This window comes from Homo sapiens, chromosome 10 (genome assembly GCF_000001405.40).
Source record: "Homo sapiens chromosome 10, GRCh38.p14 Primary Assembly".
In the NCBI taxonomy this organism is placed as follows: domain Eukaryota; kingdom Metazoa; phylum Chordata; class Mammalia; order Primates; family Hominidae; genus Homo; species Homo sapiens.
Window position 1 is genome coordinate 106,444,545 of NC_000010.11, and position 23,762 is coordinate 106,468,306.

Genomic DNA, 23,762 nt, shown 5'->3' on the forward strand with positions numbered 1-23,762 from the left:
AGCACAATCACTGCATCATATATGAAGACTTTTTTTTAGCTTTGTAAGAAAGTGATGAACTGTCTTTCAAAGTGCATGTGTAATAACAGTTTGAAATTCACCAGTTACATTCAGTGGAATAAGCCAGGCACAGAAAGACAAATACTGAAAGATCTCATTTATATGTGGAATTTAAAAAAGTTGAACTCATAGAAATAGTGAGTAGAATGGTAATTACTAGGAACTAGGGGGTAGGGTGGGGTGGGGAGATCCTGTTAAAAGGATAAAAAAATTCAAGTAGGAAGAATGAGAGGTCTATTCACAATCAATAACAATGTACTATATTCTTGAAAATTGCTGAGAGTAAGTTTTAAGTGTTCTCACTTGATATGATTTGGATATTTGTCCCATCCAAATCTCACTTCAGTGTGATTCCCAGTGTTAGAGGTGGGGCCTGGTAAAGGGTGATTGAATCATGCGGGTGGATCTCTCACAAATGGCTTAGCACCATCTTCTTGATGATAAGTGAGTTCAGGCTCAGTTAATTCACTTAAGACCTGGTTGTAAAAAAAGTTTGGGATCTCCCCTTCTCTCTCTTGCTCCTGCTCTCACCATGTGACAAATCAGCTCCCCCTTCACCTTCCACCATGAGTAAAACTTTCCTGCGGTCCTGACTAGACGCGCATGCCGGCGCCAAAGTTCCCATACAGCCTGCAGAACTGCGAGCCAATTAAACCTTTTTTCTTCATAAGTTACCTAGTCTTAGGTATTACTTCATAGTAACACAAGCAGACTAATACATTATCACAAGAGATAAGTGTATGTGAGATGACATATAGGTTAATTAGCTTGATTTAGTCATTCCATAATGTACACATATTTCAAAACATTATGTTTTACATGGTAAGTATATTTAATTTTTAAGTCAATTTAAGAAAAGAAAAGGAAGAAAGGAGGGAAAGAAGGAAGGAATAAAGGCAGGAAGGCAGGAAGGAAGGGAGGGAAGGGGAGGGGAGGGGAAGGGATGGGACGGGAGGGGAGTGTAGGGGAAGGGAAGGGAGGGGAGGGGAGGGGAGGGGGAGTTCCTGTTGCTTCACATTCTCACCAGCAATTGGAGTTTTACCTCTTGTCTTTTCTTCTTTTTTTTGAGATGGAGTCTCACTCTGTCACCAGGCTGGAGTGCAGTGGCACGATCTTGGCTCACTGCAACCTCCACCTCCCGGGTTCAAATAATTCTCCTTCTTCAGCCTCCCGAGTAGCTGGAACTACAGGCACGCATCACCACACCCAACTAATTTTTGTATTTTTAGTAGAGATGGGGTTTCACCATGTTGCCCAGGATGGTCTTGATCTCTTGACCTTGTGATCCATCCACCTAGGCCTTCCAAAGTGCTGGGATTACGGTCTTGAGCCACCACCCCCAGCCTCCCTCTTGTCTTTTACTCTGTATGTCCCTTTTGTTCCTTTTCTGTTTTCTTTTCTTATAGTTACTATTTTAAGGAAACTGAATCTTTATTTTCTAGACGTTTCTATTTTCTTTATTTTTCTGATTTTCCTTCCCGTTTCTCTGTCCCCCATATTGTTTGTATCTGAAAGTTAAATCTAGAAGCATGATTAGATCTAGGTTTAATATTCCAAGATTCGATTTTTTGGACAAGAACACTTTATAGGTGATTTAGTATGTTACCCATTGCATCCCATCCAGGACCACCAAATTTCTAGTTCCCTCTTTTTGTGATCTTAAGTCTGATAGGTAGGCTTAGGTGTGGTCAGTCTGATGCATCACTTATAATGGTGCCTGTCAGCTTGTCTTCTAATGGAAGATCTATTCATATGGTTGTCTCTTTTAACTGGTGCCCCAGTGGAAATTACTCTGTCTTCTGCACCTTCTTACTTGTTCTTAGGATTTGTCCAGTTTATCTTGCTATTACAAAACAAGAGCTTTGTTAACAAGTATTAATATTTATTTATTTATTTGTTTATTTTGAGAAGAAGTCTCACCCTGTTGCCCAGGTTGGAGTGCAGTGGCATGATCTCAGCTCACTGCAACTTCTGCCTCCCAGGTTTAAGTGATTCACCTGTCTCAGCCTCCCAAGTAGCTGGGATTACAGGTATGTACCATCACACCCAGCTAATTTTTGTGTTTTTATAGAGAAGGCATTTCACCATGTTGGCTAGGCTGGTCTTGAACTCCTGACCTCAGGTGATCCAACTGTCTTGGCCTCCCAAACTGCTGGGATTACAGGCATGAGCCACCATGCCTGGCCCCGAGTATTAATTTTTAAATACTAAATAATTGTTTTCAAACTACAGGCTCCTCATTAGATTCTGACGACAACCTAGATATGCTCCACTATCACATGATAATTCAATTTCTTCCACTAATTTTACCCAATCTATACTCTAAATAATTTTGCCATTTTATGCTCCTACTTTGTCTCCTCTTGACCACATTTATGCCTGACAGAACTGTGTATACACTCTGTCTTGCATCATAAATCAATACCTGAAGCTCTTTAATCATTCTCTTTTCTAAACAATATCTGATTTATTCATTTGGCATCTTTTGAGCAATATGTTATCCCAAACCCAAAGCCATATTGTGAAGCAATCATTAGAGCTGACATCTATCTCAAATGGTTGTTCTAAGACTAAAGGAAATAACATACATAAAGCCCTATCACATTTTTGTCACATAATAAATACTTAAACATTACTCATTCTTAACTCCAACTTCATGTTCTATCCCAGGGAATTTCTAGTGGTGTGTATAAACATTTTATTTGTTCAGGGGGTTGATTAATGCTGATTGCATTTTCATTGTAGAAATTTGGAAAACTCATCATAAAAAAGAATATAATGGTCACTTATAATCCTAACATGCAATAATAATGATTGTTATAATTTTAACATATCTCTTTCACTTTTTATGAATATTTTTACATAGTTGAGCAAATGCTATAATATACAGTTTCACATTTTTTCATTTAATGCATCCCTTAATTTTATGTCTTTTGAAATACTTGGTGGATATTATGCTTAATGCTACACTATCTTACATGCAATGCTGTGGATGAACTTTTTCTCAATTGAAATTCTTTACCTTTCTGATTCTATTTCATCTTCCCCCTGATACAACCGTCTAAGTCCCACCAAAGTAAGTCATATCCTTCCAAACTTAAAAACCTCTTTCCATCCCAGCACTTTGGGAGGCCAAGGCAGGTGGATCACGAGGTCAGGAGATCGAGACAATCCTGGCCAACATGGTGAAATCCCATCACTACCAAAATGCAAAAAATTAGCCAGGTGTGGTGGCACGCACCTGTAGTCCCAGCTACTCGGGAGGCTGAGGCAGGGGAATCACTTGAACCAGGGAGGTGGAGGTTGCAGTGAGCTGAGATGGCACCACTGCACTCCAGCCTGGCGACAGAGCAAGACTCCATCTCAAAAAAAAAAAAAAAAAAAAAAAAACCACCCCTTTCCTCTTTTTTGGACCAAATCTTCTCAAGGCAATCTCACTTCAGGATCAAATATAGTTAAGTCTTCAATTAATGTTGTGCATAGGTTCTTGCGAGACTTGAAGCAAAATAACATGATGAAACCAATTTTACCACAGGCTAATGGATATAAACAAGAATTAAGTTCCTGTAGCATATTTCTGGTCACAAAAACATCACCAAACTTCTAAATCAAGAAAGACACAAGACACTTTTAATATCAAACATTAGAATAAATGCAAGTGAAAGAATGCACCAAATTTTTGTTCAATCTGTGAGTGATGGCAATGGTAGTGGTGGTGGGTTAAATCAAGGAATAAATGTTTGCAAAGCAAAAATTGGAAGGAGCCTCTTCTACCATGTAGTTCAAAAACAAACAAGAATAAATACGGCAGGCTCACTGAATGCCTTCATACCATATTGTTTATTGTTGTGCATCGGTATAAGTGTCATATACTTCAAGAATTTTTATTTTAAAATAGTTTATATTAATTAATTAAATCATTCATCTGCCACTCTGCTTATTCTAGTTAAGGTTAGCAGGAACCTGTCCCAAAAGCTCAGGGCCATGGCGGGAACCAGCCTCGGACAGGACATTATCCCACTCTAGGACGTACTCACACACACCCACTTTCACTCAGACTGGCACCATTTAGACATGCCAGGTCACCTAAGGGGCACAGCTGTGGGATGTGGGAGAAAACTGGACTTCCCAGAAAAAAACCCACTCAGAAATGGGGGGAAAGTGCAAACTCCAGCAGACTGTGGTCCTGGCCAGGAATCGTGTTTTTTCCCCCTTATTAATGTTATAATGAAATGACCTTGAACAAAACATTACTCAAGGATCTGCTGTATACCCTAAAACTAAAAAACGTCTTTATAAAAAAATTCTCTTTAAAAAAAATAGGGGATACAAAACAGCAGAGAGCCTTCTAAAGTAAAATATAGCATCCACAACTAAATTAAAGCCCAGGTTGAAATTATTTTTCTTCATTTTAGCTGCTAGATTGTTCACCTTCAAATTCTATCGCCTTCCTACTTCTTATTTTTTTTAAGTAAGAGAAAATGGCCGCAGTGTGCTAGTCTCACTGGCATGCATTAATGTGTTATGTTTTTCATTCTTCTAAACTGATAAAAGTTTCTAGCAACAAAATTGTCTCTTTGAGATCTCAAATGGGTTATTAAAATTCAGCTTTACTTTAAATCTAAATGGATCAGAATAGCTTACTCGTCTTCAAACTAGAGATTTTGCAGTTGATTTTTTATTGTTTGAGACCTTAAGTAGTTTTCAAACCACAAGGTACTATTCATTTTCCAGAAAATTTGAATTGATGTAAATTTCACTAGAGACTATAACATATAATAAAATAAAAATATATTACAATCACTTCCTTTCCATAGTCTATTAATTTGGTAATCCTATCAAAAAGCTGTTAAACTCCATTTGTCACAATTTTTTTCTTTATAAACCAATTCTATTCACTGTTCATGATTTTGTTACCTTTGAGAGGCTTTTACAGGTTCTTTTTTTAATAGTTGTTCCGTTACTAAAGGATTTAAGTTACATTCACTGAACCATAATTACCATGATAGCGGTTCTTTCTATTCTGGAAAATTGATACAATGTTGGCATTCCATCCTATCATTTCCCAGTTCTCAGTAAATTTTCATAAATAACCATCAGCAGTAGTTCAGTAAGTTTTTCAACAAAATCCATTAACACCTTAGATGGTAAATCATTCAGACCTTGCATGCTTATTTTGCCCAAGTGTACCCTTACCTGTTTTTAATCAACAGCTATTTTTGAAAGCATTATGTTACACTGAAATCCTAGAGTGAAAATAATGATTTTGTGTAAAACAATTTCTTTCTGTGAAATATAATTCCTATATTCACACCGTGTGATAAAGTAGCAATATTCTAAGGAGACAGACATATGCATCAGTAACACACAGCATGAAATCTGTCTTCAGAGACTATCTCCTCCCCTACTATGAGTGCTCCAACTTTACCTCTTCCTTTGGTTGCATAGGAGAGACATCCTGTTCAGGTCCTGGGACATCTTCTATGGCTTCTGAATGTGAAAATGAATCACATTTACCTAAGTAAATAATAGACTTTGTAGTTGGTTGAATAGTGCATACTTCACACCCCCACCCCCACCACAAAAAAAGATGTCCATGTCCTAACCTCCAAAACCTGTGAATGTGATCTTGTTTGAGAAAAGTATCCTTGCAGATATTAGTAAGTTAAGGATCTCAAGATGAGATCACCCTGATGTAGAGGTCCTTGTAAGAGAAAGCAAGAGGGAAACTTGTGCATAAAGACACACAGAGGGGAAAATCATGCGAAGATGGGAGTAGATTAGAGTTATGCTGCTACCAACAAAGAAATGCGAAGGATTGCAGGCCGCCAGAAGCTAGGAAAAGAGACATAGAGGAGGCATTCCCTGAGAAACTCCAGGAGGAACTAATCGTGCTTACACATTGATCCTGAAGTCTGTCCTCCAACACTATGAGAGAACACATTTCTGTGGTTCTAAGATACTCAACTTGTGGTGATCTCTTACAGCAGCCATAGGAAATTGGCTCTTGGAGTGGATATGCAAAACTGTAGATAATAATATTTAAATATAAAAATTATCTACTCTTTCATTCTTTTATAATCAAGTAAAGGAAAAGTGTGAAATTATCTTTTAATTAGAATCTGCAGAAAGCTATTATTGTTTGTAATGATAGCTTTTAATTTCTTTCAAAGGCAGAGTCCTATCTACAGTGCAATAATTTTACCTAGAGGGTGAGTTGGAAAGATGGATTTTTCCCTAGAACTGGCTAACAATACTAGTGCTCAGAGTCAATTACTTTAACCATTGAAAAGTAAGATTAGTGAGGGATTTATAAGTTTAGCTATTTGTTCCTCTCACTAGACATTGGCACAATTCTGATTCCTAGCCAACAGACTTCAATAGAGGTTGACTACAAATGAAGAAAATACTTGTAAAACTTTAAAAGTGATGTGATGAGGTAAAAATGAAGGCCTTAGTTGAATGTAATTGCTCTATGAAGAAACTAAAATATTCATAGGTCATGAGTGGCACATGTTTTACTGCAAAGTCATAAAGCAACTCATCCAAAACTATTCTTCTAGGTCTTTAAAACATGGTGAATACAATCCCTTCTAAGACCTGCCCTTGATTTATCACAGTTCATTCAGAGCACCATGACAGATAAAGTCATCTAACTGCTTCAAAGTCAAGGCACTTTCTCTGAGCAAACACTTCCTATTCTTTCTTATGGGTGAGGAATCCAATAAACCACGTTCAAACTAATATAGAATATTAAGCAAACCAAAAATGATAATATTGAGAGATGGTGAGGGCACTAGGAAACAGGATACCAGGATATGCAAAGGAAATAGAAGGAGATCTGTACAGATACCCAATAAAAATTACCATAAATTTTAAAATGATTAACGGTAGTGATGTCTATCATGATAACATATCAACATACTAAAAATACAGATATAGAAAAACAGAGTACAATACTTTACTTGGAATTAAGTTTGTGTAGTTAACAGAAAACCTAAAATAATAGTGTTTTAAACAAAACAAAATCTATCTAGTTGGCAATCCAGGCCTGCAATATGATTTGTTTTACAAAGTCTTTAGAGACCCACATTCCTCTAGTTTTGTACTCCTCTGTCATAAAGGAGTGATATTCATTCTTATGATATAAGATAGAGTTCCAGCAATCATTCATATTCCAAATTGTAGAATGGGAAGACTGAGGGAAGCAGGCCAAGAATGTCTCATATATATCTCTTAAGAAATTCCTAGAAATTGAAAGATGACATGCTTATATCCCACTGACCAGAAGTGTATCATATTACTGCATTTAGGCTAAATATAGTATCTTTATTCTAAGAGGTCATAGGCCCATCAAAAAGTTATATTACAGAAGGGAATAATGGACAAATAGTCATCTCTGTCAAATATATAAATCCTGATATAAGAGAAAATATTTTTTAAGCAATCTATGAAACATTTACTAAAACTGAGTACATATTTATTTAAAATACTGATAGATTTTCCAAAATAGAAATAAAAATGGTATTCTCTGAATGATATTCAATACAATGAAAACATTATATCAAATGATAGAGTATCAAATAATAGAACATCTCTTCTAACTTTAAAAGTAAATCAAAATTTTAATTGCAGTAATGAAAACACAATTTCACTGACCAGCTAAAGCAAAGCTTATTGAAAATAGAGTAGCTTTAAATACTTATATTGTTGAATTAATAATAAGAAATACTTTTTAAAATGGGAAAATTTAAAACAAGGAGATAGCTGGAGTGGCTCATTAATATCAGGTAAAGTAGACTTAAAACAGAACTTAAATTATTGATTTAAGAAAGCTTTTTGCTGATTGATTTGACAACTTTTCTAATATGAGTTTTATTGCTATAAATTCCGCACCCCCATACACTGCTCTAGCATCTCACAAAATTTTATGTGGTACTTTCATATTTCTTCAGTTAAAAATATTTTCTAATTTTCCTCAAGGCTTTCTCATTAGCCCATAGGTTATTTAGAAATATGTTGCTTAATTTCCAAGTGTTTGCAGATTTTCATCTTTTAGTAATTGATTTCTAGATTAATTCTATTATTGTCAGAAAACATATTTTGCATGATTTCAAAACCTGACAAAACTTGATTTTGTTAAGGTTTAGCTTATGGCCCAGAACATGATTTATCTTGGTGAATGTTTCATTTGCGCTTGGAAAGAATATGTATTATACTATTGGTTGGAGAATCCTACGTGTCAATTAAATCCAGTTGGCTGATGTTGTTCCATTCTTCCATATATTTAACGATTTTGTATGTACTAACTATTAATTATACTGGGAGAGAAGTATCAATGCCCAACTGTAATTATGAATTTGTCTTTTTTCATCTTCTTTTAAATTTTATGGTTTAAACAAAAAACATTTAGGCATGATGCATTGAACTAAATACTGATAAGGTATACTTCCAAAGAATTACATTTTTTTGCTCTGCAGAAAGATAGGTTAAGAAAATGAGGTTAAGAAAATGAAATTACAAATAATAGATTAATTTTTAAAAAATTATAAATCACTCAAAAGAGAGAAAAAAAAAAACCCAGTTAAATAATCAGCAAAATACTTGAACAAACACTTCACCAAAGAGAATATATGAATGGAGAATAAGCACAAGAAAGAATACTCAATACAATTAGTCATTACAAAAATGAAATTAAGACCATCATGAGATATGACTACAAACCTATCAGAATGTCTAAAATAAAAATTACTGACAAGACTAAGTGCTGAGAGGATATGATGAAGCAACTGGAATTCTCAAAGATTACTAGTGGGAATCAACCTTTAGGAAAAGCTTTCCAGTTTCTTATAGATTATACATTTACCATGTGGCCCCTGAAATTTAACTCCTAGGTATTTAACCTTTGGAAATAAAAACTTAAATTCACACAAAACCTCTGTATAAATCTTTATAGCAGCTCTATTCCTAATTATCTGGAAATTAGGCCAAACTGGAAATAAGCCAAATTGCCTTTAATGGGTGAATTGATAAACAAACTGTGATATATCTATGTAATGGAATACTACTCAGGAATGAAAAGAAGTAAACTGTTGATAGATGCAACAACTTGAATACATCTCAAAGGCATTGTGTTCAGCAAAAGAAGACAGTGCCTGAAGGTTATAGTCTGTTTGATTCCCCTTAGATGACATTCTTGAAAAGACAAAACTGTGGTAATTATTCAATCAGTGGTTGCCAGATGAAGAAACTGATCTTTCTCCTGACTGGGGTTGTGTTAACACAAAAATATTTGCATGCTAAAATTCATAAAACTGTAAACCAATATAAGCTAAATTTTATTCTATATTAATTTAAAAATAAAATAAACAGTTTAACAGAACAAACACAAAAGACACACATTCATATATGCATATAAGATTTCTGGAAAGGTGCACAAAATATGTTAACTAATTGAGTTTTTTGGAGGGGTTAAAGTTTACATTTTTATTGTACATACTTTTAAATTATTTTCATATATTAGCATGTGTGTATAATTATTTCAATAAAAGTAAAATTTAAGAAATAATATTTGGGATTGGATCAAAAGATAAAATAAGATTTATAAAATTGTGCAGAGATCTACACATGATTGGTTCTAGATCATTGATACTCAGTTTCCCGTAGTCTGTTCCTCCGATTCAAACTGAAGTTCTTATCACCCAAAAAAGTCAAGAGAAAAGAATCAGCCTTCATAAAATGTTCTGAAACTGCAGGTGATCACGATCAAATGTAAACTGGTTGTTCTTGGCTGGATAAGGTCAAGTTAAGAGCTTTGGAAGCATTTGTGAAACAAGAAAATCAATAGTTTTGTGTATTAAATGTCTGCACTGCAAGCAAAGTCAGAGAAGAAAAACAATACCACTTTGTATGTAGTGTTCTACAAGCCAAGAGATAAATCCTTTCAAATGATCTGAGTTGGAGGTATACATTATCTGAGAATTGGCAATTTAGCACAAGCTGATAAATCATTTCATTTGACCTAAAAAGTATAGAGAAGATATGATAGAATGGCACTAAGTGCATGCTCTCTTGGCATGCATATTTTATATGGGTGACTGAGGACTTTTTACATTCCTTTTCTGTATCATAAATCGAATGTACTATTTCAGATATGGGAATCAGAAGTCTTTTATTCACGATTCAGCCACATTGAAAGTCTTAAATGGCAACAAGTTGCTTATTTCCTCTTTTATTTCCTAACAGCAATGCATTTCCAATGTTGTTGTCAAATATCCAAGTAAAATGCCCAGTCACTTCAGGACTTAGTTTTTCACATGCAAGTATAGATCTAAACTATTTCAGCAATCAGTATAATCCACAAATTCTAATATGGGATCCCTTTACAATATAACTCAAATTTGTAATGTTCTTTATGCCTAACCTTGGTACTTTAATTCGGGTCCTAGACATACTTGCCCTATTCTAGTAAGTACTTTTTAAGGAATATTTCTAGACATTATTTTTCAACTCCAGCTTACTATATATATAAATTGCAAAGTTTTCTTCTTAAATCACTGTTCTATTAGCACCATTCCTTCTTCAAGATTAACAGTTCTCTATTTTTTCAATCAATCATACACACAAAAGCATAACACTTAAAAACATGCCCCAAGCATGTTCCATATAAATGTATGCCCTAAATCTGGCCACACTGGGCTCTTTACCATGTCCTGAAGATATTTGGCATATTTGCATATGTTGCTCCTATAGTTGTAAAGTTCTCTCCCTTTTAATTTAATCCACATTATTTAGAGCCTTCCATTTTCTTAAGGCAAATTTCATACGCCATCTTCTTCCATGAAGCCTTCTCTGATTAGTTCACAGTTAAAGATGATCTTTCAGGTCTCGGAATACTTACCATTTAAGTTCTGTGGTAACCACTGGCCAAATACTGCACAGAGTCTAATTCTTGTCCATTTCTTATTTCCCTTAGCAATTAGAAAGGACACAGTCTCCTTCCTAGAATCTGTAGTACTTAGCCCAGCCCTGGCACACAGAAAATATTCAATAAAAACATGTCAAATTATGGAATATAAGATTTAGCACTTGTGGCTACAACATAGGGGTTGTATACAAGAAAACAAAGTGAATTAATTAAGCATAAAGACCCACACTAGAGTGTCTGTGCAGAGGACTTAGGCTCCAGCTGTGGCTACAACATAGGGTTTTTAACCCATGAAATCAGATTTATAGTATATATAATTTCTTTCCTAACACCTAAAATTCTTCCATTTGATAACGTTTGTTTTAGCACCTTTTTCTCACACATAGAAAAGCATTTTAAAGTACAGATATCTCTTGGAGGCATGAAGGATTAACTTTCTTATATATTAAATTTATCAAATTCCTGTCTTTTGACAAAAATTCAGAGTCTCCTATTAGGAGACTAGCTTAGACTTGCATGAAAGGCAGGAGGTTTGACTCAAAGTAGAGAGCAGACTCCAAAGACAAATGTCTCCTGATTTCAACACTCATGAGAGCAGAGGTGAGCAACAGCTCTCATTCAAGTATAGATCTAAACTATTTCAGCAATCAGTATAATCCACAAATTCTAATATAGGATCCCTTTACAATATAACTCAAATTTGTGATGTTCTTTATGCCTAACCTTGGTACCTTAATTCGGGTCCTAGACATACTTGCCCTATTCTAGTAAGTGCTTTCAAGGAATATTTCTAGACATTATTTTTCAACTCCAGGTTACCATATATATATATATATATATATATATATATATATATATATATATATATATACACACACACACACATATATATATATACATATACATATATATATATAACAATAATAATTATATAAATTGGATGGGGAGAGGTAGGGAGGGATGGAACGTTAATCCATGGAGAAAGGTGACAAAAATAAGCCTTGAGTTCTATGAATGATCCACTAAGTGAGCATCCTGCCAAAAATGGCTGCTGAGCCTTGGAACAAAAAAGGTCTTTCCAAGAGATATTAGGGAAATGGGAAGGAAGTTAAAGAAAGCTAATGTTTACCAAGTTTAAATTATCTACTTACATCCATGATCTTCTTTGGTCACCATTTTAAACATCAAAAGTAGATAGTGCTGTCCCCCTTGTGTAGAGACAGTGATGTGTACATACTTTTAAAATCACACACACTTAGAAATTGTGTAGCAAGGATTTGAAGATGATTCTGTCTGATATTAATCACATGCTGATTTCGGTACAACATATTGCTCTATTAGAGGCTAGTTTTTCAGGGTATTTTACTTTAGGTGTGATGAACTTTTGGCGCACTACAGTTTCCCTTTCCTCATTTTAGCAGACATTGGTAGTTGATCGCAGTATTCTTTGAGCCTAGATTCTATGGTAGCGCCTCCTAACATACTGGTCTGAGAGCCCACTAGAAATCAGAGTTCTTTGTCTGAGATGAAACTTATTAGAAATGCCTAATACCACTGACTTTTATTTGTTAATTTATTTTAGATTTGGGGGTACATGTGCAGGTTTGTTACATGGATATATTATATAACGGTGAGGTTTGGGCTTCTGGTTAATCCATTACCCAAACACTGAACAATGTACCCTAAATAGGTAAAATTTTCAACCCTCACTCCCCCACAATCCTCCCCCCATTGAAGTCCCCAGTAACTATTATTTCCATCTTTATGTCCATGTGTAGCCATTTTTTAGCTCCCACTTACAATGAGAACATGCAGTATTTGATTTCTGTTTCTGAGTTATTTCACTTAGGATAATGGCCTCCAGTTCCATCCATGTTGCTACAAAGGACATGATTTCCTTCTTTTTTATGGCTTCATAGTCTTCCATGATGCATATATTGAAGCATATATACCAAATTTACTTTATCCAGTCAACCAATAATAGACACTTACATTGGTTCCATGACTTTGCTATTGTGAATAGTACTGCAATAAACATACAAGAGCAGGCGTCTTTTTGATAAAACAATTTCTGTTCCTTTGGATAGATACCTAGTCATGGGATGCTGAGTTGAATTGGTAGTTCTATTTTTAGTCCTTTGAGAAATCTCCACACTGTTTACCATAGTTTAACTAATTTACATTCCCACCAACAGTGCATAAGCGTTCCCTATTCTCCACATCCTCACCAACATCTGTTACTTTTTGACATTTTAGTAATAGCCATTCCGACTGATGTGAGATATCCCATAATAGTTTAAATTTGCATTTCTCTTATGATTAGTGATGATTGTTTTTTCATGTTTGTAGGCATCTTGTATGTATTATTTTGAAAAATGGCTATTCATGTCCTTTGCCCACTTGTTAATGGGCTTGTTTTTTCTTATTGATTTGAGTTCCTTACAGATTCTGAATATTAGTCATTTGTCAAATGCATAGTTTGCAAGTATTTTGTCCTATTGTATAGGTTGTCTGCTTACTCTGTTGACTGTTTCCTTTGCTGTGCAGAAGCTCTTTAGTTTGATTAAATTCCATTTATCAATTTGTGTTTATGTTGCATTTGCCTTTGAGATCTTAGTCATAAATTCTTTGCCTAGGCTAATATCCAGAAGAGTTTTTCCCAGGTTTTCTTCAAGAGTTTTTATATTTTAAAGTCTTACATTTAAGTCTAATCAATTGTAAGCTAATTTTTTTATATGGTAAGACAGGGGTCCTGTTTTATTTTTATGCATATGAATAGCCAGATTTCCCAGCACCACTTATTAAATAGGGTGTCCTTCCTGCATGGTTTATTTTTTTCAACTTTGTTGATGCTCAGTTGGCTGTAAGTAAGTGGCTTTATTATTGAGTTCTCTATTTTGTTCCATGGACCTATGTGTCTTTTTTTGTACCAGTATCATACTGTTTTGTTATGATAGTCTTGCAGTATACTTTGGAGTCAGGTAACATGTTGTTTTGCTTTGCTCTTTTTGCTTAGGATGCTCTGGCTATTCAAGCTCCTTTTTGGTTCCATATGAATTTTAGAATACTTTTTTCTAATTCTGTGAAAAAATGATGTTGGTAATTTGATAGGAATTACATTGAATCTGTAGATTGCTTGGGCAACATGGTCATTTTAACAATATTGATTTTCCCCATCCATGAGCATGAAATGTTTTTCCATTTGTTTGTGTCATCTACAATTTTCTTAATCAGTGCTTTGTAGTTCTTCTCGTAGAGGCCTTTTACCTCCTTGGTTAAATGTATTACTAGATATTTTTGTTTTTGTGTCTTTATTGTAAATGGGATTGAGTTCTTGATTTGGTTGTCAGCATGAGTATTGTTGGTGCATAGACATGCAACTGAATTTTGTATGTTAATTTTGTACCCTAAAACCTTACAGAAACCATTTATCTAGTCTATGAGACTTTTGGAAGAATCTTTAGGGATTTTTAGGTATAAGATCATGTCATCAATGAACAGAGATAATTTGACTTCTCTCTTCCTGTTTGGACATCTTTTATTTCTTTCCCTTGATGGACTGTGCTGACTAGGACTTATAATTAAACTAAAGAGCTTCTGCACAGCAAAAGCAATTATCATCAGAGTGAACAGGCAACCCACAGAATGGGAGAAAATTTTTGCAATCTACTCATCTGACAAAGGGCTAAGATCCAGAATCTACAAAGAACTCAAACAAATTTACAAGAACAAAACAAACAACCCCATCAAGAAGTGGGCAAAGGATATGAACAGACACTTCTCAAAAGAAGACATTTATGCAGCCAACAGACACATGAAAAAATGCTCATCATCACTGGTCATCAGAGAAATGCAAATCAAAACCACAATGAGATACCATCTTACACCAGTTAGAATGGCAATCATTAAAAAGTCAGGAAACAACAGGTGTTGGAGAGGATGTGGAGAAATGGGAACACTTTTACACTGTTGGTGGGACTGTAAACTAGTCCAACCATTGTGGAAGACAGTGTGGCGATTCCTCAAGGATCTAGAACTAGAAATACCATTTGACCTAGCAATCCCATTACTAGGTATAAACCCAAGGGATTATAAATCATTCTGCTACAAAGACACATGCACATGTATGTTTACTGTGGCACTATTCACAATAGCAAAGACTTGGAATAAACCCAAATGTCCATCAATGATATAATGGATTGAGAAAATGTGGCACATATACACCATGGAATACTATACAGCCATAAAAAATGATGAGTTCATGTCCTTTGTAGGGACATGGATGAAGCTGGAAACCATCATTCTCAGCAAACTGTCACAAGGACAAAAAAACAAACACCACATGTTCTCACTCATAGGTGGGAATTGAACAATGAGAACACTTGGACACAGGAAGGGGAATATCACACACTGGGGCCTGTCGTGGGGTGGGGGGAAGGAGGAGGGACAGCATTAGGAGATATACCTAATGTAAATGACGAGTTAATGGGTGCATCACACCAACATGGCACATGTATACATATGTAACAAACCTGCACATTGTGCACATGTACCCTAGAACTTAAAGTATAATTAAAAAAAAAACCCCAAAAAAACAACAAAAAAAAGACAAATCCCTACCAAAAAAAAAAAAGAAGTAGTGAGAGTATATATCCTTATCTTGTTCCAGTTCTTAGAGGGAATGCCTTCAACTTTTCCCTATTCAGCGTGATCTTGGCTATTGGTTTGTCATATATTTTCTGATATGTTCCTTCGATGCCTGTTGAGAAATTTTATCATGAAGAAATGCTGGATTTTATCGAACGCTTTTTCTGCATCTATTGAGATAATCATATGGTTTCTGTTTTTAATTATGCTTCTTTGGTAAATCACACTTATGATTTGCATAGGCTGAATGATCCTTGCATCTCTGAAATAAAACCACTTGATCATGATGGATTATCTTTTTGATGTGCTGTTGGATTTGGTTTGCTAGCATTTTGTTGAAGATTTTGGCATCTATATTGATGAGGAATATTGTCTGGTAGTTTGCTTTTGTTCTTGTGTCCTTGACAGATTTTGATATCAGGATAATACTGGTTTTATAGAATGAGTTAAAGAGGAATCCACCCTTCTTGAATTTTTGAGATACTTTCAGTAAGATTGATACCAGCTCTTCTTTGTAAATCTGGTACAATTTGACTGTGAATCTGTCTGGTCCCGGGCTTTTTTTCACTGATAGATTTTTTTTATTACTTATTCGATTTTATTACTAGTTATTGGTCTGATTAAGATTTCTATTTCTTCCTGGTTCAATCATGAGAGATTCTATGTTTCCAGGAATTTATCCATTTCCTATAGGTTTTCTAGTTTGTGTGCTAGAGATGTTCATGGTAGTCTCTGACGACCTTTTGTACTTCTGTGGTAACGTCCCCTTTATCATTTCTGATTGTGCTTTTTTTTTTTTTTTTTTTTTTTTGAGATGGAGTCTCACTCTGTCGCCCAGGCTGGAGTGCAGTGGCACAATCTTGGCTCACTGCGAGCTCCGCCTCCCGGGTTCACGCCATTCTCCTGCCTCAGCCTCCTGAGTAGCTGGGCCGCCACCATGCCCAGCTAATTTTTTGTATTTTGGTAGAGACGGGGTTTCACCGTGTTAGCCAGGTTGGTCTTGATCTCCTGACCTCGTGATCCACCTGCCTCGGCCTCCTAAAGTGCTGGGATTACAGGCGTGAGCCACCGTGCCCGGCCCTGACTGTGCTTATTTGAATCTCCTCTCTTATTTTCTTGGTTAACCTAGCTAGTAGACTATCAATTTTGTTTATTCTTATAAAAAAACAACTTTTTTTTCATTGAAGCTTTGTATACTTTTTTTTTTATTTTAATTCCATTTAGTTCTGCTCTGATCTTTCTTATTTCTTTTCTTTGCCTAGCTTAGATTTGGTTTGTTGTTGTTTCTCTAGTTCCTTGAAATGTGACTTTACGTTGTTAATTTGAGATCTTTCTTTTTGATGTAGGCACTTATAATTGTAAACTTTCCTATTAACCCTGCTTTTGCTATTTCCCTGAGGCATTGGCATGTTGCATCTCTATTTCTATTTCTTTCCATTTTTATTTTTATTTCTGTCTTGTCATTTGCTCAAAAGTCATTCCTGAGTAAGTTGTTTAGTTTCCGTGTACTTGTGTGGTTTTGAGAGTTCCTCTTGGTATTGATTTCAAATTTTCAAAACCACTGACCTCCAAACTCATTATAAGAATTCATAATAATAATCACTACCAATTTACGCAGCACATTTGAAGTGCTGAGCATGATACAAGACTTATAAAATATATCATACCTAATAAAATTGAGTGAGTTTGTTTGCAATATTTGCTACTCCTTGATTTCCAGATCAGCAGGCTTCCTTTTTTTTAATTATTTTTATTTTTTTGACACGGAATCTCACTCTGTCACCCAGGCTGGAATGCAGTGGTGCAATCTTGGCTCACTGTAACCCCTGCCTCCCAGGTTCAAGCAATTCTCCTGCCTCAGCCTCTCGAGTAGCTGGGATTACAGGCACATGCCACCAGGCCCAGCTAATTTTTGTATTTTTAGTAGAGATGGGGTTTCGCCATGTTGGCCAGGCTGATCTTGAACTCCTGACCTCAGGTGATCCACTCACTCAACCTCCCAAAGTGCTGGGATTACAGGCGTGAGCCACCACGCAGCAGGGTTCCTTTGACAGATGATTCTGATTACAAAAGTGTTCCTGTCTCCCCAATTTGTTTCCGTGTGTCTTTTTCCACATCTGCACATTTGTTTGAAGAAGAGGTGCTTTCCAAATGGAGAAGAATTCTTTGGCCAAAGCTACCTGTTATACACCTGAAACTCTGATAAAGCTTCTTCAAGTTTATTTTTAAGAAATAAAACTAGAGGTCCCATAGCAGTCTGTGTAGTTCCTGGACCAGCTAAGGTGCCATCCCAGAATAGACCATTATTTGGTAGTGACAGAATATATGGCAACTAAAAACTGGGCCCATTAATTGACCAATCATTTTCCTCTTTATCTTTCTTTTCCTTGGAGTATAAATCACATTTATCAATTCATGTTCTTTAAAATATTTCAGTGGATTCCTATTTCTCTTAGAATATCCAAAGTACAAAATGTTTTCCTGATCCAGCATCCCTCCCACTTCTTCCACTGTGTCTTTCACCTTTTTGTCACCATTCTTCCCATTGCTCCCACTGGCTTCACTTTATCATTTAATCTCTGCTGCCATCCCTCTTGCTGCGAGCCTTCACTTCTTTTTTTTTCTTTTCTTTTTTTTTTTTTGAGACCGAGTCTCACTCTGTCACCCAGGCTGGAGTGCAGTGGCGTGATTTCAGCTCATGGTAACCTCCGCCTCCGGCGTTCAAGCAATTCTCCTGCCTCAGCCTCCCAAGTCACTAGGATTACAGGCATGCGCCACTGCACCTGGCTAATTTTTGTATTTTTTTTTTTAGCAGAGACGGGCTCTCACCGTGTTGGCCAGGCTGGTCTTGAACTCCTGACCTCAGGTGATCTGCCCGCCTCAGCCTCCCAAAGTGCTGGGATTACAGGTGTGAGCCACCATGCCCAACCAAGCCTTCACTTCTTATTCTCTCTGCCTGGAATGTTGTTTCCTTATTGCTGCTCAGGTATGGCTTATTCTTCTCCTCTTAGGACTCAACTCAAATGACAACACCCCTGCTGACTGGTTGTTCTACCTCATTAACTTGTACATCAACTTCAGAGAGGGTTTCACAATTTCTATTTTTAATTGGTTTGTTTACCAGTTTACAGAATTTTTCTCAAACTACTTATTGTAATTCTTTTACAATGAGAATTTCTTTCTTTCTTCCTTTCATTATTTCATTAAATATTTATTGAGTACCTTTGAACTTACAGGATGAACACAAAGTCCTTGCTCTCATAAGTTTATTTTTTATCAGAGGAAAATAAAGAAATAGAAAAACCAGCTATAATCAGTTCTCATTATTTGTGGTAGTTATGTTCTATAAAGTTATCCCAAACACTAAATTAGTGAATACTAGATCATCACTCCTAAGGGAAATATACATTAGGTTCCTGTAGGCCTCTGGTCACAAAATTTTCATCAAGAAATCAATATGTAACTTTGTTTTAAAGTGTGTTTCTGTTTAAAGGCATGTTATTTAATATATATTGTTGACTTATTAACATTGAACTCATGGCCAGTAGCACTTTAACTCATGCATGATGAAGCTTGTCTAACACACATATTTTCTCTGGAAGGCATACCACAGCCTTCTTGCACTTAGAAACACTAGACAGTACTTTAGCACCACGTTTGGAGGCCCTTTTTAACAGCAAAATCAAGAAGAAAAAGCACAAAGATGGTAAAAATGGGGCACTAAATAGACTGAAAAAAGGACATTTGTTTGCAGTACGGGAGCTGAAAAAAGAAGGCAGAATGTCTCCTTGTTAGACCTCAGCTGAAAATGTACACCTTACCCTACTCAAATTTTTCACCACTGCCCTTGTCTATGAATAATGATAAAAGTGCCATGATTATTGATTTTGGGGTTACAAATAAATTTTAGCGAGTAAGAAAATTCACAAATATTGAATCCTCAAATAATGAGAATCAACTGTAATGACAGATAACTAGAAGCATGAGAAATACTATGAAGAAAGATTTAAAGACAGAGTAAGGAGGGTGGATGTATTATTCTAGATGGCTTGGACAGGGAAGCCATCTGTCCAAGCCATCTAGACTTGGACAGAAATTTATCAATTTCACTCTGATAAAGTGAAATTTAAATGAAGTGTTAAATAAAATGAAAGAGTCATGCAGGTATATGAAGAAAAGAACATACCAAGCAAAGCAAAGACCACATGCAAAATCTGGGGGAGAAAATGTGCTTGAAATGAAAGGAGCTTGACAGAAAAGCAGGAAATAATATAGAGTTGGGGGTTAGGGGACTGATATGTGCAGACCATTTTGAGCCTTGGAGTTCATTCTTGTGGTATAGTCTTTTATCTACAATGGGATAGAAAATCACTGGAAGGTTTTGAGTTGAAGAGTATCAAGAGCTAACATTTTTTAAAAGGTCCTTCTGGCTGCTGTATGGAAAACAGAATGTACGGGTCAGTGTTGGAAGCTAAGAGACCAGCTGGAAGTGATCACAATATTCCAGGTAAGAAAACATGGTAGCTTAGGTAGGGTAACAGTAGAGATAATATTTAGGAGTCATGGAATTTTGGTTATGTTTCATGGTTGCCATTAAGAAAATTTGGTATAGATTGTATATTAATACATCAAAGTGCAGGAGACAGATGGGAGAGGGAGGGACAGGGATAAAAAGAGAGATTATAGATGACTGCAAAATTTCCTGCCAGATTGACTGGAAGAATGAAGTTAGCATTTTGGGTAGAAGGGTAGAGAAAGAATAGATTCTCAGAGATGTGGGTGGTGAGAGGAGAATGCATTCCATTTGAGACAGTTAACTGGAGGTGCAAAATAATCATCCCAGTGAAAATGTCAATTAGGGAGTTAGATATAGGATTATGAAATTCAAGGGATAAGTCCTGACTAAAGATAATTGGGGAGTTATTTTTTGGGCTTTGACTTTTATCTAGAATGAGATCAAGAAAATTATTGCTTTTAAGCTATGAGATAGATGAGATCAACTAGGGAGTAACTAGAAGTAACGCTATGAAGAGATCTGAGGACAATGGAATGTACGTTTCAAGAGAGCAGGAATTAGGTGGGGCGCGGTGGCTCATGCCTGTAATCCCAGCACTTTGGGAGGCAGTGGCTCAGGCCTGCAATCACAGCATTTTGGGAGGACGAAGCAGGTGGGTCACTTAAGCTCAGGAATTTGAGACCAGCCTGGCCAACATGGTGAAACCCCATCTGTACTAAAAATACAAAAATTAGCCAGGTGTGGTGGTGCACACCTGCAGTCCCAGCTACTCAGGAGGCTGAGGTAGAAGAATTGCTTGAACCTGGGAGGTGGAGGTTGCAGTGAGCCAAGATCATGCCACTGATCTCAAGCCTGGGTGACAGAGTGAGACACATCTAAAAAAGAAAAAACAACAAAACAGGAGAGCAAGAATAATACCATTTTCAATGTCTGTCCAATGATATCCACAGTAAATAACATTGAACTGTTTTGGAGAATACATTAAAATTTGTATATGGATAAAAAGGTGCACTGGAGATTTGTTTTCCTTCTTTTTCAATTAACTTTTAAATATGTATTTCATGTGTCTATGGAGCCAGAAGGAATAATTTTTTAATAGCTAAGTACTTTGAATTAGATGTGATTTTTCCTTTATTTCACTTTATTCAAACAGAATTCTTACCTTATTGGAACTTGCTTGTGATTTTTCAGAGAGAGATTGTTTCCGCAAATCTGAGTTGATGATTAGGGTAAAGAAGAATTGCTCCGAAAATGTCAATCAAACAGAGGAAGTTTATTCTCCAGTTTGACTTTCCACACCCACTATGAGACTCACAGCTTTCTAAAATAACAATGATAATTACTGTTGTTGTTACCAACGTTGTGAGCTGGTACAGAACAATTTTTAAATGTTAATTCCTGTGTTGGGTCATCAGCACTTCATCTTTCTCTTTCAAAGCTTGTAACCCTTAATTGAGCAGCCTTCTCAGGAAAATAAGCCCACGTGATGGATTATGCTCTAGTCTCAGAGACATCAAAAGGAGAAATGAAAGAGACAAGGCCACACATGGCCCTGTTGTAAGCTTTCCCCTATTGCATTGTACACATCAGATAACTAAATTTTCAAAAATAAAAATATGTGATGTAGGCCAGGCGCAGTGGCTCACACCTGTAATCCTAGCACTGTGGGAGGCTAAGGCAGGCAGGTCACCTGAAGTCAGGAGTTCGAGACCAACCTTACCAACATGGAGAAACCCCATCTCTACTAAAAATGCAAAATTACCCGAGCATGGTGGCACATGCCTGTAATCCCAGCTCCTCAGGAGGCTGAGGCAGGAGAATCACTTGAACCCGGGAGGCAGAGGTTGCGGTGAGCTGTGATCACCCCATTGCACTCCAGCCTGGACGACAAAACAAAACTCTATCCCCTCCCAAAATAAATAAATAAAATAATAAAAATAGGTGTTGTCTTGAAGATTTTGAAACCAAATTTAAATTATAAATCTCCCTGTTGTCTCTACATTTGTTTGGGCTTTTGGGGACTTAATAGCATAATACATACTTTCATTTAATAACTGCATTTCCAAATCAGATCTCCTAACATCATTGAATTATTTCTCCAGGCCCCCTCACTTTGAAGAAAGGTCCCTGTTCAGTACTGGAGACATATTCCAAAGGTTTACTAGTTTCTATATAGCTGCAGAAACACAGACTCCTTTTGTTTTAATCAAACGTGCTCATTACTGTGTTATGTGAACTTTGTCAACTTATAAGCTCTTAGTGGACAACAATATTTTGCTCTTCTACCTCTAAAGCTCATGAAAGAACTTCCAAAATGTTTGTCAAATGAATAGCTTCAAATCATCTATATCATAATTTCACTTTGACACTTTTGAGTTCTTGGGGGAAAAGCAAGTAGCCTAGTTACTATTCTCCAGTAATCCTTAGTTAATAGACCAGCTCTGAAGGGATCATGGGAAATTAACTAACAACTTGAGAAAGATAGGAGATGATGGTTACATGCTATTTCAATGAGTATTTAAATCGCACCTTGGAGTTGCTTCCAAGATGGCCAAATAGGAACAGCTCTGGTCTACAGCTCCCAGCAAGATTGACACAGAAGATGGGTGATTTCTGCATTTCCAACCGAGGTACATGGTTCATCTCATTGGGACTGACTGGACAGTGGGTACAGCCCATGGAGGGTGAGCCAAAGCAGAGCAGGGAGTCACCTCACCCGGGAAGCACAAGGGGTCAGGGGATTTCCCTTTCCTAGCCAAGGGAAGCCATAAGTGACTGTACCTGGAGGAACAGTACACTCCTGCCCAAATACTGTGCTTTTCCCATGGCCTTAGCAACCGGAAGACCAGGAGATTCCCTCCCGTGCCTGGCTCACTGGGTCCCACGACCACGGATCCTTGCTCGCTGCTAGCGCAGCCATCTGAGATCAACCTGGGACACTGGAGCTTGGCAGGGGGAGGGGCATCCACTATTGCTGAGGCTTGAGTAGGCAGTTGAGTATGCTCACAGTGTAAACAAAGCAGCAGGGAAGCTCAAACTGGGTGGAGCCCACCACAGCTCAGCAAGTCCTACTGCCTCTCTAGATTCCACCTGTGGGGGTAGGGCATATATGAACAAAAGGCAACAGACAGCTTCTGCAGACTTAAATGTCCCTGCCTGATGGCTCTGCAGAGAGCAGTGGTTCTCCCAGCATGGGGTTTGAGCTCTGATAACGGACAGACTGCCTCCTCAAGTTGGTCCCTGACCCCTGTGTAACCTGACTAGGAGACACCTCCCAGTAGGGGCCGACAGACACCTCATACAGGCAGGTGTCCCTCTGGGATGAAGCTTCCATAGGAAGGATCAGGCAGCAATATTTGCTGTTCTGAAGCCTCCGCTGGTGATACCCAGGCAAACAGGGTCTACAGTGGACCTGCAGCAAACTCCAACAGACCTGCAGCTGTTAGAAGGAAAACTAACAAACAGAAAGAAGTATCAACAGAAAGGACATTCACACCAAAACCCCATCTGTAGGTGACCAACGTCAAAGACCAAAGGGAGATAAAACCACAAAGATGGAGAGATACCACAGTAGAAAGGCTGACAATTCCAAAACCAGAGCACGTCTTCTCC

At 36.9% G+C, this 23,762-nt stretch overlaps 2 annotated features.

Annotated features, from left to right (window-relative positions):
- Positions 22,511 to 23,036: an enhancer, noted in NCBI's record as "OCT4-NANOG-H3K4me1 hESC enhancer chr10:108226813-108227338 (GRCh37/hg19 assembly coordinates)". NCBI's record gives its function as "activates a minimal SCP1, AML or CMV promoter by ChIP-STARR-seq in naive H9 embryonic stem cells {active_cell/tissue: H9 hESC(naive)}" and the evidence as "EXISTENCE:reporter gene assay evidence [ECO:0000049][PMID:30033119]".
- Positions 23,037 to 23,562: an enhancer, noted in NCBI's record as "OCT4-NANOG-H3K4me1 hESC enhancer chr10:108227339-108227864 (GRCh37/hg19 assembly coordinates)". NCBI's record gives its function as "activates a minimal SCP1, AML or CMV promoter by ChIP-STARR-seq in naive H9 embryonic stem cells {active_cell/tissue: H9 hESC(naive)}" and the evidence as "EXISTENCE:reporter gene assay evidence [ECO:0000049][PMID:30033119]".